We start from the raw sequence: 15882 nt of genomic DNA on the forward strand, positions 1-15882 counted from the left end.
TTTTTGAGATGGAGTCTTGCTCTGTTGCCCAGGCTGGAGTGTAGTGGCTTGATCTCGGCTCACTGCAACCTCTGCCTCCCGGGTTCAAGCGATTCTCCTACTTCAGCCTCCTAAGTAGCTGGGACTACAGGCGTGCGCCACCACACCTAATTTTTGTATTTTTAGTAGAGATGGGGGTTTCACTATGTTGCCCAGGCTGGTCTCAAATTCCTGACCTTGTGATCCACCCGCCTCGGCCTCCCCAAGTGCTGGGATTACAGGTGTGAGCCACTGGGCCTAGCCATGATTTCTATTTTAACATTAATGTTGGTCAGTTGTTGTGTTTACGCCACAAAAGGAGGGTATAACGAAATATCTAACCTCCCATCCTGTCTTGGCCTGAACTCAGTTTTTGTTGTTGTTGTTGTTGTTTTCTGTTTTTCTTGAGACGGAGTCTCACTCTGTCGCCCAGGCTGGAATGTAGGGGTGCGATCTCGGCTCACTGCAACCTCTGCCTCCCGGGTTCAAGTGATTCTCCTACTTCAGCCTCCTGAGTTAGCTGGGATTACAGGCGTGCACCACCACGCCTGGCTAATTTTTTGTATTTTTAGTAGAGATAGGGTTTCACCGTGTTGGTCAGGCTGGTCTCGAACTCCTGACCTCGTGATCCAACCTCCCAAAGTGCTGGGATTACAGGCGTGAGCCACTGTGCCCAGCCTAGAACTCAGTTTTTAAGGTTCCTCTGGGGTCCCCTTGGCCACAGGTGGTTGGAGCGCTTAGGATTTTATTTTTAGCTCTCAGAACCCAAATAGCCAAAGCAATCTTGATCAAGAAGAACAAGGCTGGACAACAATCCCACCACGGCTCAGGAAAGCAGCCAGGGCAGATGGACTCTAAGTGAGTTTCACTTGCACTGAAGGCTTAAGGAAGGACCTAGAGAGCAAGCTACCCTGGGTTTCATACCCTGGGGTCACATGAACAATGGGCTAAAGCATTGAAGGATATCCAGTGTCTAGCAAAGACTGAAACAGAACCCAGGCTGTTCCAGCCAGCCCCTCCCTATCTCAGGAAGCTCCATTTCCAGAACACTCTACAGTTATTCTTGAGAACTATAGCAAGAAAGGGAGGAGAACTGGGTCAGTCCATGATCACTTGAAGAACTATCCATTGGTTACTTCTGTGATTATGTTATGTTACATGGTAAAAGGGATTTTGCGATTGTAATGAAGGTTACTGCCCAGCTATTTATTTATTTATTTATTTATTTATAGAGACGGAGTCTTGCTCTGTTGCCAGGCTGGAGTGTTATGGCGCCATCTTGGCTCACTGCAACCTCTGACTCCCTGGTTCAAGCAATTCTCCTGCCTCAGCCTCCTGAGTAGCTGGGATTACAGGCACATCCCACTACGCCTGGCTAATTTTTGTATTTTTAGTAGATCTGGAGTTTCACCATGTTGGCCAGGATGGTCTCAATCTCCTGACCTCAAGATCTGCCCGCCTCGGCCTCCCAAAGTGCTGGGATTACAGGCGTGAGCCACCATGCCCGGCCTGCCCAGCTGTTTTTAAGACAGGAAGATAGCCCTGGATTATCTGGTAGACCCAGTGTCAGTCCCAATTACATGAGCCCTTAAAGAGGGAGAATAAGACAGAGAGATGCAGCAGAAGAGGAAGTCAGAGATAAGCAACATCAGAGGGGTGGTATACATTATTGCTGGTATTGAATATGGTATGGATATACCTGCACAAAGAAACTCTCAGAAGTAAATAAATTTTTGCCAACAATCTAAAAGATCTTGAAAGTGGATTGTTTGTCTCCCAGTGTCTCGAGATGAGAGCCCAGGCTGGCTGATCCTTGATCCAGCCTTTTTACACCCTGATCAGTGTATCCGGCCAGGCCTTGAGATTTCTGATCCAAAAACAGCAAAACAATAAATGGGTGTCATATTAAGTTGCTATGTTTGTGGTAAGTTACATTCTTCCTATAAAACAAATTTAATGCTAAAATATTTAAATAATAAAAATAAAGATACATTGTTCATTAATACCATGACTGATACTGTTTGGATCTCCAAAAATAGCTATTTTCTTTTCCTTTGAGACAGAGTCTGCCTCTGTCACCCAGGCTGGAATGCAGTGGCACCATCTCGGCTCACTGCAACCTCCGCCTCCCAGGTTCAAGCGATTCTCATGCCTCAGCCTCTTGAAGTTTCTCACTGTCTACACACACACACACACACACACACACACACACACCCATAACATAATCTGTTCTAGGCTCAGTATCTCAAAAACAGAAAGGTAAATATCTTCAAATTATAAAGACATATCATTTCGTGAGGAAGAGAGGACACAGCATCTCCCCTGGGACTCCACATTGGCCTGAGAAAGAAGGATTTTCTTCTCTTTCCTTCTAAGCCTCTTTCTCAGTATCTTGAAAAATCACAGTTGCATTTTGAGAACAAGCCTTTTTAAAAAAATGTTATCAACCTGCATCTTCTGCTGTGGGTTGAATTGTGTCTCCCCAAAATTCGTATATTGAAATCTTAGGACAGGCATGGTGGCTCATGCCTGTAATCCCAGCACTTTGGGAGGCCGAGGTGGGTGGATCACCTGAGGTCAGGAGTTCTAGACTAGCCTGGCCAACATGGTAAAACCCCGTCTCTACTAAAAATACAAAAATTAGCTGGGCATAGTGGTGTGCGCCTGTAATCCCAGCTACTAGGGAGGCTGAGGCAGGAGAATCACTTGAACCCAGGAGGCGGAGGTGGCAGTGAGCCGAGATTGTGCCACTGCAATGCAACCTGGGTGACAGAGCAAGGGAAAGAAGAAAGAGAGAGAGGGAGAAGGAAGGAAGGGAGGGAGGGAGGGAGGGAAAGAAGGAAGGAAGGAAAGAGAAAGAAAGAAGGAAAGAAAGAAAGGAAGAAAGAACGAAAGAAAGAAAGAAAAGAAAGAAAGAAAAGAGAAGGAAAGAAATCTTAACCCCCAGTACCTCAGCATGTGGCCTTATTTGGAAATAGGGTCTTTGCAGATGTATCTCCATCCCCCAATCTCCATAATGCTTCTTTGTCCACCTGAATAACCCCCCCTTGATGTCCACCCCACTGCCTTTTAGGTCTTTATTCGTCCCCTAGTCCTCTCCTTGTCCCATCACTCTCCAACCCATTTGTCTATATCTGTTCCCCTGCCCCCTCATCCATCCAAACCTTCTAGATATTCTTACCCCACCTAAATTCAACACCAATTTGGATTCCTTCCTCTGTCAACTTTATGCCCTGCACAATTACGGGGATCTCAGCCCAACAGTCCCCCACCCTTTTAGGACCGTCACACCCTTCCTCTTGACTTCTAGTTTCTCCCATTCTTGTGCCCATGGCTCAATTTCCACATTCTCCATGTCTTCTCCCTTGAAATCCCAGATCTCAATCATAGGTTGCCATCAGCTCCCTCTGTCCCTCACCCTTCAGCATCCTCAAGTCCACCATCCTCACCACCTTATTAATCACCAGAAATCATTTCGTCTCCCCGTGTCCATTATCTCTCCTGCAAGGCTTGAGCTCCCCCTCCTGGCCTCTGTCTCTCTCTTGGAATATTAACAACCCCCAGGACATCTGCACTCCACCGTAAGACCTTTTTTTTTTTTTTTTTTTTTTTTTTTTGAGACAGAGTCTCGCTCTATTGCCAGGCTGGAGTGCAGTGGTGCAATTTTGGCTCACCACAATCTCCGCCTCCCGGGTTCAAGCCATTCTCATGCCTCAGCCTCCCGAGTAGCTAGGATTGCAGGCATGTGCCACCATGCCCATCTAATTTTTATATTTTTCACAGTGATGGGGTTTTGTGATGCTGCCCAGGCTGGTCTCAAACTCCTGACTTCAGGTGATCTGCCTGCCTCAGCCTCCCAAAGTGCTGGGATTACAGGTGTGAGCCACCGTGCCCGACCAGATTTTACAGTATCCTTTTTGGTTAATGCTGCCTTGACTCAGATTTGAGATACTGGCTAGAGTTGGCCAGTTCCCCTAATTGAGTAGCTGTTTAAGTCTACACCCCCAGGCCACTATGTACCCATTTTAATCCTCTCAGGGCTATGTACCATGTAACCTGCCACGATCCCTGGTGGACTGAACAAAAGGGGCAAACGCAGGAATAAAAGACAAAGAGAGTATATTTGGAAAAGGGGGAAACTTGCCTCTAGTGGAAAAGGCTCTGAGCTTTTTCAGCCCTCCAAATTTATTAGGTAAAAGAGATAACGAGAAAGAGAGGATGATTATTGGGTAATTGTCAGTCGGCAATTTTGGTTCACAGCAGGCTTGAGAGACTGCATCCTTCAAACCATAGGTGCTAGATTTCCCAGTAGATAACTTCAAGGAGCCCGGCACCAGGGAGTGATGGCCCTCAGCAAACCTCCTGGTGGCAGGTGCAGTCATGAGTTTTCTCACGTCCTGTAATCATGATAAACACTTTGCTGTTTGATCATATAGCCTCCAGTGGAATGCTGAGTTGGTCACAATCCCTTTGGCCTTTTCGGCTCCCAAACAGTACCAGATTACTAGGTACAGCCACTTTGCCTTGAAGCCCTTGAAATGGTTCAACTTAGCCAACTCACAGGGTGTCCTGCAACACTAGCTCAGCCTCTCGCTCTGCTTGCCCTCATAAGCCCCGGTACTGCTCCAGCTTGCTGTTACCTGACCCTTGCTGCAATGCCCTCCATGGCTCTTCTGACATTTTTCTGTCCTTTGGAGCTGTAGGTAGCAGAATACTGCCTTTCCTCTTTCCAAATGTCACTGTCTTGTGTCTTTTCATGAAAAGAATCTTTAAATCTTATTCAACATATACACATCTCCATCCTCCATGTTCTTTAAGCATCTGTGGACTTTATCTCTCCTGGGTGTTTTACCCACTCCGCTCCATCACTTACTTCTGCCTATGGTCCCCTCTCCATTATTCCTTTATTCCCATGCCCACTGCATCCCTCAGTTCCTCAGAGTTCACTGTGTGTTATTCCCTAACTTCCTTGCACACTTTGTCCCATAGTGTCCTGAAAACCCGCAGTGCCCTTTAAACACATTGCATCCTTTAGCCGCAAGTGCATAGGGAGCGGATCTCCGTGCCCTTAAAAAGCCGTGCCTGATACGAGTGCCTCTGTTTGCTTGCAGGCTTACCTACTGAACACTAACACTGTGATTTTTGATTAGCGATTTGGATAAACCATATGAATTCCAAATTCTGGAGGAACTGTGCAAGGCTGGACAGTGAGGAGGGGCTGGAGATGAAAGGTCAACCATGCAAAGTATTTGACCACATTCCACTATAACTCTGGGCACCAAGGCTTGAATGAGCTTCCCTGGTTGGTAATATTCCATAAGTACCATCATTTATTGATGCTGGGAAAGTAATGCTTCCATGACTGCAGGGAGAGGACAACAGGAAACTCCAGATATGGTGCTTTTCCTAAATTCTGCCCCATCTGCTTCTTCCCTTGTGGATGTTAACCTGTATTTTTCCCTGTAATATACTGTAACCATGAGCGTAACAGCTTTCAGGGAGTTCCGTGAGTTCTTCCAGTGAATCATCCAACTATAGAGTGACTTGGGGAAATTCTGAACTTCCAGTTGGTGTCTGAAGTGAGTGTGGTCTTGTGTGGACTGTGTTTCCTGTAACTTCTCAGTTGGCCTCAAATATTTCCTAGAAGAATGGAGAGTGCACCTAGGTCAAATTGTGGATTTGTGTGTTGAGAAATCAAAGTTTCACTTTGGACTCTTATATTTTATTTATTTTCTTTGTTTTTTCTGAGACGGAGTCTTACTCCATCGCCCAGGCTGGAGTGCAGTGGCGGATCTGGGCTCACTGCAACCTCCGCCTCCTGGGTTTAAGCGATTCTCCTGCCTCAGCTTCCCGAGTAGCTGGGACTTGACAGGCGCCCGCCACCATGCCTGGCTAATTTTTGTATTTTTAGTAGGGATGGGGTTTCACCATGTTGGCTAGGCTGGTCTTGAACTCCTGACCTCGTGATCCACCCACCTCAGCCTCCCAAAGTGCTGGGATGACAAGCATGAGCCACTGTGCCTGGCCCTATTTTCTTTTTTTCTTAAGACTAATCAAGTGCAGTAGTGACAAGGGGGAAAGAGTAGAATAAGGAGTTCCATCTGTAACTGACTGTGAACAATCCATTGAGATAACTGACTATCTTCGGACCTGGCTCTTACATTTTCACTTCCCAATTGATTACATAACGGATGAGTGCTTCTTTCTAGAAATTGAGGAACAGTGTATATAGAGAGTTCTGGTAACTATCTACTGCTGTTCTACCTATTAAATAATGCAGTAAGCAGCAGATGGTTACCTATTATCTAATTTTACCTATTATAAATATCTAATAGGTAAAAGAATGGCAGAATTTGCCTGTCAAATCATGTGAATTGGTACTTTATTTTTGATGGGCATTTTATTCAGCATCTTTCTTTTTAAAATATTTTCTTAATTTTTAAATTTGTTATATATAAATTATATAATATATAACATAAATTTTATACACACACACACACATACACACACACACACACATATATATATATATATATATATAATTTTCTTTTTAAAGACAGAGTCTCACTCTGTCACCCAGACTGGAGTGCAGTGGCACAATCTCAGCTCACTGCAACTTTCGCCTCCCTGGTCCAAGCAATTCTCATGCCTCAGCCTCCCAAGTAGCTGAGATTACAGGTGTGAACCACCATACCTGGCTAATTTTTGTATTTTTAGGAGTGACGGGTTTCACCATGTTGGCCAGGCTGGTCTCGAACTCCTGACCTCAAGTGATCCACCTACCTCCACCTCTCAAAGTGCTGAAATTACAGGTGTGAGCCACCACACCCAGCCTTATTTTTTATTTGTATTATTATTTTTGAGATGGGCTCCGGCTCTGTCACCCAGGCTAGAGTGCAGTAGCACAATCTCAGCTCACTGCAACCTCTGCCCCCCAGGCTCAAGCGATTCTCATGTCTCAGCCTCCTGACCTCCTGAGCTGGGACTACAGACACATGCCACCATGCCCAGCTAATTTTTTTGTATTTTTGGTAGAGATGGGGTTTTGCAATGTTGCCCAGGCTGGTCTCAAATTCCTGAGCTCAAGCGATCAGCACGCCTTCCAGAGTGCTGGGGATTACAGGCATGAGCCACTGCCTCCGGCCAAGAATATTTTCATGTTTAGACTTTTTCTATCACTGTTGGGGTCAAAACAGGAAAGTATATTTTCCTACAAAACGTCCATATCATCATTTCTAAATTAATTTCTGTTTATACAAATAAGTCCAATGATTTCTAATGCAAATTATTGACATCATGTTTTTCTTTTGCACTTATTTCATTTCTTATTATTAATCCATTTTAGATTCTTTCTCTGATTCCATTTACTTGCTGAATACTTAAATAATGGAGCAGCTTAGGATTCTGGAAATTAACAGTGAACTTGATTTTAGGAAAAATATCTCAGAGAAGTAGGGAATCCAGTGAGATAAAGGTGCTTCTCTGCCAATTCCTCAGGCATCAGACCTCAATATTTTCTGCTGCTTAAAGCCTTCAGGAATCTTGAAAAGTAAAAGCCCCTTTTGTATACTTTAATGATCTCTTTGAAGACAGGAGAAAGTTGTAATTGCCTTTGGTAATTGCAACTGGAAAAAAAAGTTTTTCAAAAATGTTACTGTCTCCCAAAGTCTGCACTGTTATTGCTGCACCAGGTGAAATGATAATTGCAGTTCTAAGGTGAGGTGAGGTCACAGGATCACAAAACTTTATGTCAGGGTCTGGTGGCCTCCCTCCCATATTTGCACAAGTTGTTGTAATCTTCACACTGAACCAACCACTCTGGCAGTGGGAAGAAGTTAGGTGAGTATATTTGTTTTTCAGCCAGAGAGGTAGAATCTGCAAGAAAAGAAGTCTTAGGGCCAGGCATGGTGGCTCACACCTGTCATCCCAGCACTTTGTGAGGCCAAGGCGGGGGGTCACCTAAGGTAAAGAGTTCGAGACCAGCCTGGCCAACATGGTGAAAACCCGTCTCTACTAAAAATACAAAAAATTAGCCAGGCGTGGTGGTGGGCACCTGTAATCCCAGCTACTTGGGAGACTGAGGCAGGAGAATCGCTTGAATCCAGGAGGTGGAGGTTGCAGTGAGCCGAGATTGTGCCATTGCACTCCAGCCTGGGTGACACTAGCAAGACTCTCTCAAAAAAAGAAGAAAAAAAGAAGTCTTAGTAATTGATTATGTCCAGAAAAGGGGTTCCTCTGAGGTAGAAACAGAACCAGTGCTAAAGACAGACAAAGAGGAGGAATAATTCCTTATGTATAAGCTGAGCCAGTGAAGAAAGATGACAGTCCTAAACCCTACACCAATCCCTGATGGATACAAAGGTATCTTAACAAAATCCTCACTTGGGATGATGGTTGGTGAATAATTCCAGTGATAATTAAATAAGATTTATGGTGCTCAAGGATTGTAGTAAATAAATATATGTGTTGTTCATATACCTCCCAGGAATCATACAGTAAATTCATAATATTTTTAATAATATGCTTGTACTGCCTCCATGATTATAATGAAGAGTAGGATGGATCTAGAAAAATTACCTTATCCTGTGCAGAAACCATACATCTGAAATCATTTCTGGAATAAAATAATTTGTTTTTTTAAGAAACCTTGCTCTGTATAAATGATGCGCTTAATGGAGACAGTGATTGTCCTCCACAGAAAACCTCTGTGCTCTTAGGATTATGGTGAGGCTGCTTTCCCTCTTGAAGTTAGGGAAGTAGCATTTAAGGGAAACGTAGCTTTACTATTAAGAATTTCAAACAGCACTTGTCAGGGTCAACGGTATCTTGTGTTATTTTTCTCTGGTCAAAAACGCTCTCTATAACTTTAAAATTTTTTGATTTTATTGTAGTGAGATTACTTACAATGAGAACTATCCTCTTAACAAATATCTTAGTGTACATTATAGCACTGTTACCTATAGGTCCAATGCTGTGCAGGGGATCTCTGGAAGTTATTCATCTTGTTTTCCTGAGACTTCTTGCCTCTGAATTAGCAACTCTTCATTAACCCCTCCCCGCACTCCCTGGCAGCCTCCGTCCTACTCTCTCGTTCTATGAGGCTATTTCAGATTACACATACAAGTGAGATAATGCAGTATTTGTCCTTCACTGACTGCCTTACTTACCTAGCACAGTATCCCTACGGTTCATCTATGTTGTCATCTCCTGCAGAATTTCCTTCTTCCTAAAGGTTGAATAATATTCCATTGTGTATTTATACACCAAGTTTTCCTCACCCATTCATCATTCCACGGACAGTTCGGTGGGGGCTATTGTGAGCAGTGCTGCAATGAGCATGGAAGTTCTAATATCTCTTGGAGGTCCTGACTTCAATTCTTTTGCTAAATACTCAGAAGTGGGAAAGCTGGATCATATGGTAGTTCTTATTTTATTTTGTTGTTTTTTTTTTTAGAGATGGAGTCTTGGTATGTTTCCCAGGCTGGCCTCAAACTCCTAGGCTCAAGCTATCCTCTTGCCTCCGTCCCCTGCATAATTGGGTCTGCAAGCATGCACCACCTCATGTGGCCTCATTTTAATTTTTTGATTAATGTCTATATTGTTTTCCCTACAGGCAGCACCATCTTACATTTCCAGCCACAGTATCCAAGGGTTCCAATTTCTCTGCATCTTTGCCATACCGGCTGTTTTTGCTAATAGTGATTGTAACAGGTGGGAAGTCATACCTCATTGTGGTTTTTACTTGTGTTTTCTACATAATCAGTGACATTGAGCATGTTTTTATATAACTGTTGGGCATTTGAATGTCTCCTTTATAATAATGTCTATTCAGATCTTTAGCCCATTTTTAAATTAGGTCTATTTTTGTTTTGTTTTGTTTTAGGAGTTATTTTTTGCTATTGAGTTGTAGAAGTTCATTTCCCTATGATTTCAACATCAATAATGCTCAAGATTTTATGGTCTCTGGATTCCGTTTTTACATATTTCTTCTATTTTATTGTATTTTACAAATTATATTTCCCTGCTAATAGCTTCGCATGACTTGTACATTAATATATTGATGAGTAAATGATCAAAAATTAGTAATAATTGAGTTTCTATACCGTTTTAATACATGTTAGTATTTCATGTATAAAAGTTTAGAAACAGAGTAATATTGTTCAATGATTCATTTGATAGATACCATTGTACGTTTTCTCCTGTTGGGTGAGTAAATGAGTCTTTCTGCTACCAAACTAATATTGAGCCATTCTTGCATTCAGTAAATCCAACTTGCATGTGAGGAAGTTTCCTTTAGGATTTTAATCAGTGCACCGACAGTTCATTAGTATATCAAAAGTTATTGACATTGGATATTGACCTATACAGTAAATCTTTACACAGAAACAAAAACTTGCTTTGATCAAAATTATAAAAGAAAATACCAGTGATGAGAAATCAGTGGCATGGTAAACAGACAAAACTAACTAGGCCTAGATTTTTTAAAAACACAGCTGCCTGATTTGTTAGCGTAGCAAGTCCTTAGGTTGTTGTCTTTGCAACCACCCTAGTCAAATTCGAGTCTCTTTTCAACCCTGAAGATGCCTGTGAATTTTGACAAATCATTGAACCTCTCTGTATCTAAGTTCTTCTTGTCTCTACAAGGAAAATTATGCCAGTGAATCCATCATACAGTTACAAAAATCAAAGAAGGTACCATACATACCACATGATAGGCACGATTCCTATATTGTAAGTGCTATTTAAATGTTATACATTCAACCCTAGAAAGTCTCTCAGCAAAACAAAACTTTCAACATTTTTCGGTAGAATACTGTTTTTCAGTTATGTCATTAATGCAATCTACACCTCGTGTTTTCTGCAGGATCTTCTGGCTCTCAAGACGAATGTCAATCACTAGGAACTGGCAGAGTGGCCTCCAGGGATAGGAGGAATGGTCTATTTATCACAGAATATTGTTGGAATCCTGAAAAATTTCTGTCTTCCTTACCATTGTGCCTTCTTTTATTTAGCAGGGTGCAGATTGAGGTCCACAGATTTGAATCAGAAACACCTGATTATAGCCACTTCTTGCTCATTCTGTTTAAAGGTGTCCCCAAGACACACCTCTGTATGCAGCACCAAGTCAATGGCAGATTTTAGGTGATATAACTTCCTAAATGATTTCAGATTCCAATTTGTTTCTGTCCTCACAGAGTTGGTAGGGTATGACCGTTGGCACCACCTGTGTCTGCAGTGTTTCAAGCCATCATGATAAGCCCCAGGAACTACAGGTGTGTAGAATTTAAAATGAATTATCCAATGTATATTGGGCTTTCCATTTTTCTCTGCTGGACCCTGATACATTGATAAATACGATTTTTTCCAGCCGGGTGCAGTGTCTCACACCTGTAACCCCAGCACTTTGGGAGGCCGAGGTAGGCAGATCACTTGAGGCCAGGAGCTGGAGACCAGCCTGGCCCACATGGCGAAACCCCATCTCTACTAAAAATATGAAAATTAACCAGGCGTGGTGGTGCAGGCCTGTAATCCCAACTACCTGGGAGGCTGAGACACAGGAATTACTTGAACCCGGGAGGTGTAGGTTGTAGTGCGCCGAGATCGTGGCACTGCACTCCAGCCTGGGTGACAGAGTGAGACTATCTCAAAATAAAAAAAAAAAAAAGGATTTTTCCCATGTTTATAATTGCCAGATATAGCAGCAAAAACATCACAAAGAAAACAAGATAGGATACTTTTCTGCTGTATTCATGACAAAATCAAATCAGAGGGTCAATATCTACAACATTGTTATTATTCCCTAATATTTCCTGTGTTTCTTAATCTGTGCCTGTGGCTCTATAAGTTTTCTCCTGTACAGACACAAGTGGAAGCTCATTCATGACCTTAGCACCAATATTCCCTACCCCCACCAAAATTATTTTAACTCCTTTTGGTCTTATGTATTTTTATCAAATTAAAGAGCCATCACAGGTTATAAATCACAGCTCATTGGAATTTTGCAAACAAACATAGCTCTTTATGTAATACATAGATACAAAAACAGAACACTGTTCTGTTCACAAGAGTTCACAAGAAGCTCCTTCTTTGCACTCTAAGTCACTACCTACAACAGTATAATTCTGTTGTTTCTATTTGCAGGAGTGTAACTCTTGAGATTTTGGTTTACATCTCTTCCAGTATTTAAAGGATTAAATTATTTTGGCCTGTTTGCTACTTTATATAAATGGAATCAACATGAATTCTTTTATATTTAGCTTTTATATCTATTCCATTAGAATTTTTGTGTGTGACCATACCTTAATTATTGCATTCTATTAATGGTACTCATTAGCATTGCTTCCTATGATTCCATTGTATGAATAATCAGATGATCGAGTCATACTATTTTTTTGTTTGTTTTTTACTTTTGTTTGTTTGTTTTTGAGATAGAGTCTTGCTCTTGTCACCCATGCTGAAGGGCAATGGCGTGATCTCGGCTCACTGCAACCTCCGCCTCCCGGGTTCAAGTGATTCTCCTGCCTCAGCCTCCTGAGTAGCTGGGATTACAGGCACCCGCCACAACACCCAGCTAATTTTTTTGTGTGTTTTTGGTAGAGATGGGTTTTCACCATGTTGGCCAGGCTGGTGTCGAACTCCTGACCTCAAGTGATCCGCCCACCTTGGCCTCCCAAAGTGCTGAGATTACAGGCATGAGCCACCGCGCCCGGTTGAGTCATACTATTGTTAAAGGCCATGTGGTAATTTTGAGTTTGTGGCTTTTATGAGCAATGAATAGTCCTACCTATATAAACTATGTAACTTATCTTTTGTTGATATATATATGAATTTGTGATGGATAAATTCATAGAAGTGAAATTATTGAAGCATAAATTGACATCTGGTAGGCTTATGTAGCTGCTACCAAACAGTTTTCCAAAATGTTTGTATCCATTTCAGCACCCACCAGCAGCGCATGAGTTCTTGGTTTATTCACAACCTTGCCACACTTAATATTTCCTGTCATTTTCTTTTTTCTTTTTTCTTTTTTTTTTTGAGACAGAATCCCATTCTGTCGCCCAGGCTGGGGTGCAATGGTATGTTCTCAGCTCACTGCAACCTCTGCCTCCTGGGTTCAAGGGATTCTCCTGCCTCAGCCTCCCTAGTAGCTGGGATTACAGGCGCACGCCACCACGCCTGGCTAATTTTTGTATTTTTTGTAGAGATGGGGTTTCACCATGGTGGTCTTGAACTCCTGACCTCAGGTGATCCACCTGCCTTGGCCTCCCAAAGTATGGGATTACAGGCGTGAGCCACAGTGCCCTGCCTAATTTTTTGAATTAGCTGAAATTTTCTTTTGGCCAATATTAAGGTCACTGGTGAATATTCTATGCATGCCTTATAGGGATAAATACGAAATAAAAATGAGAGCCTGCATTCCTCCTTTGAAAATATGGCAAGGCATTTCTCTTCCTCCTCTTTTTGTCAGAATATTTACCTTAGAAAACTTGTGAGTACTTTCTCCCGAAATGTTTATTTTTAGAAACTAAATAAACCTTTTGTCAGCATAATGACCTAGGGATATCTTTCTCAAGGACTTGGGAGACATCTCTTTCAAATGTCAACATCACTAGAGATAGCACCTGTATCTCTCTGTTTCTGTGGGTTGGTAGGAGCCTATCTACAGTGGGTACCTGGCTCCATTTTGTAAAACTACCACCTGTTGTAAACATATAAGTTAGGGTTTTCCCCCCTGCTTCTGAATAAAGCTAATTGGCTAACATAGATGGTCTCCCCAATTACCATGTAAGGTCAGGATGAACAATGTATAAGCAATAGCGCAATCAAGTTTTTGAGGCTAATCAGTGCTTATCTCAAAAACCAGTCTATAATGGGTTGTATAGAAATTATTCTTTTTCCTATCTCCTAACGGATTGCCTCTATTGCGTATGATATTCCTGTTAAATGTTTATTCATCAATAAAATTGTTGGCCAGGTGCAGTGGCTCACACCTGTAATCCCACTTTGGGAGGCCGAGGTAGGAGGATCACTTGAGGTCAGGAGTTTGGGACCAGCCTGGTCAACATGGTGAAACCCTATCTCTGCTAAAAATACAAAAACTTAGCTGAGTGTGGTGGCACGCGCCTGTAATCCCAGCTACTCAGAAGGCTGAGGCAGGAGAATCACTTGAACCTGGGAGGCGGAGGTTGCAGTGAGCCGAGATTGTGCCACTGCACTCCAGCCTGGGTGACAGAGCGAGATCCTGTCAAAAAAAAACAAAAACCAAAAATGTCCATGCTGATCCCTTGAAAATTTTAGAAGCAACAAACTCCCCATATACATAATGGGTTTATAACTTTAAGCTATAATCAGCTTATCCTCTACTTTTTAGTTTCATGAAAAGCTCTGCAATCAACTCATTTCTTTGCTTCAGATCATAAAAGTCAATGCTAAAAGTTGTTTCGTGGCAACATAGCTATTTAGCAATATTGTGTAATATAGACATCTATCTTGTACAGATCCCAAAATCTATCCCAGATACTGCATCTTCAAAAAATAATGCTGACCTAGGCCACCATGGAGTGTGCCTGGAGTCCTAGCTACTTAAGTGGCTGAGGCAAGAGGATGTCTTGAGCCCAGGAGTACATATGCAGCCTGGAAAACACAGTTAGACCCTGTCTCTAAAAAATAATAATAATAATCGAAGTAAAATATGCTGATATGGGCCGGGTGCGGTGGCTCGCGCCTGTAATCCCAGTGCTTTGGGAGGCCAAGGTGGGCGGATCACGAAGTCGGGAGTTCGAGACCAGCCTGGCCAACATGGTGAAACCCCGTCTCTACTAAAAATACAAAAAATTAGCTGGGCATGGTGGCAGGCGCCTGTAATCTCAGCTACTCGGGAGGCTGAGGCAGGAGAATTGCTTGAACCCGGGAGGCAGAGGTTGCAGTGAGTGGAGGCCATGCCACAGCACACCAGCCTGGGCAACAGAGCGAGACTCCAACTGAAAAAAATAAAAATAAAAAATGCTGATATGTCATCTCGTATCCATCTTTGTGACATATCACTATATCCTCATTTTAACCTGCTAATATTTTAAATATGTTCATTTTCATATCTAAACATGATCATACTTCAAGATGGATGAAGGGATCCAAAAATAGGGATATAAGGCCGGGTGCGGTGGCTCACGCCTGTAATCCCAGCACTCTGCAGGCCAAGGTGGGCAGATGATCACCTGAGGTCAGGAGTTTGAGACCACCCTGGCCAACATGGCAAAACCCCATCTCTACTAAAAATCCAAAAATTAGCCAGGCGTGGTGGCACGCGCCTGTAATCCCAGCTACTCGAGAGCCTGAGGCAGGAGAATTGCTTGAACCCAGGAGGTGGAGGTTGCAGTGAGCTGAGATCGTGCCATTGCACTCCAGCTTGGATGACAGAGTTAGACTCTGTCTTAAGAAAAAAAAAGTTGGGGGGGTGAGATATCAGAGAAAAGCATACTTATTAGTACCTGTTAATTCAAAAATATTGCCATAAAATTATTGCCGGCAGACGTAAGGCTATTTAAAATTTGATAATCTAGTTTTACTTCTATCAGGGTTCTATAAAAGAATAATCGGCCTACCAAATACACTTAGAATTACTGCAGAGTTATTCTTTAGATCAATAAATACAATTGTCTTCTGAAGACTATTTTAAGGGCTTTGTTATCTACAGGGGCCAGTACATTGAAGAAGAGAAAACAAACAAGATTTAAGAGATTATAATTTTTAAAATAAAAAGTATGTTTACTTATTACTTTCAGAATGCACCTAAAGTGAATCTGAAATTACAGTATTTTTAGAAAATATTGACCTAAGCCTCAGCCTCCCAAGTAGCTGGGATTA

At 42.4% G+C, this 15882-nt stretch overlaps 1 pseudogene; it reads left to right on the forward strand.

Annotated features, from left to right (window-relative positions):
- Positions 10952-11384, forward strand: VN1R100P (vomeronasal 1 receptor 100 pseudogene; annotated as a pseudogene).

The sequence above is a fragment of the Homo sapiens genome, chromosome 19, assembly GCF_000001405.40.
Source record: "Homo sapiens chromosome 19, GRCh38.p14 Primary Assembly".
Lineage (NCBI taxonomy): Eukaryota > Metazoa > Chordata > Mammalia > Primates > Hominidae > Homo > Homo sapiens.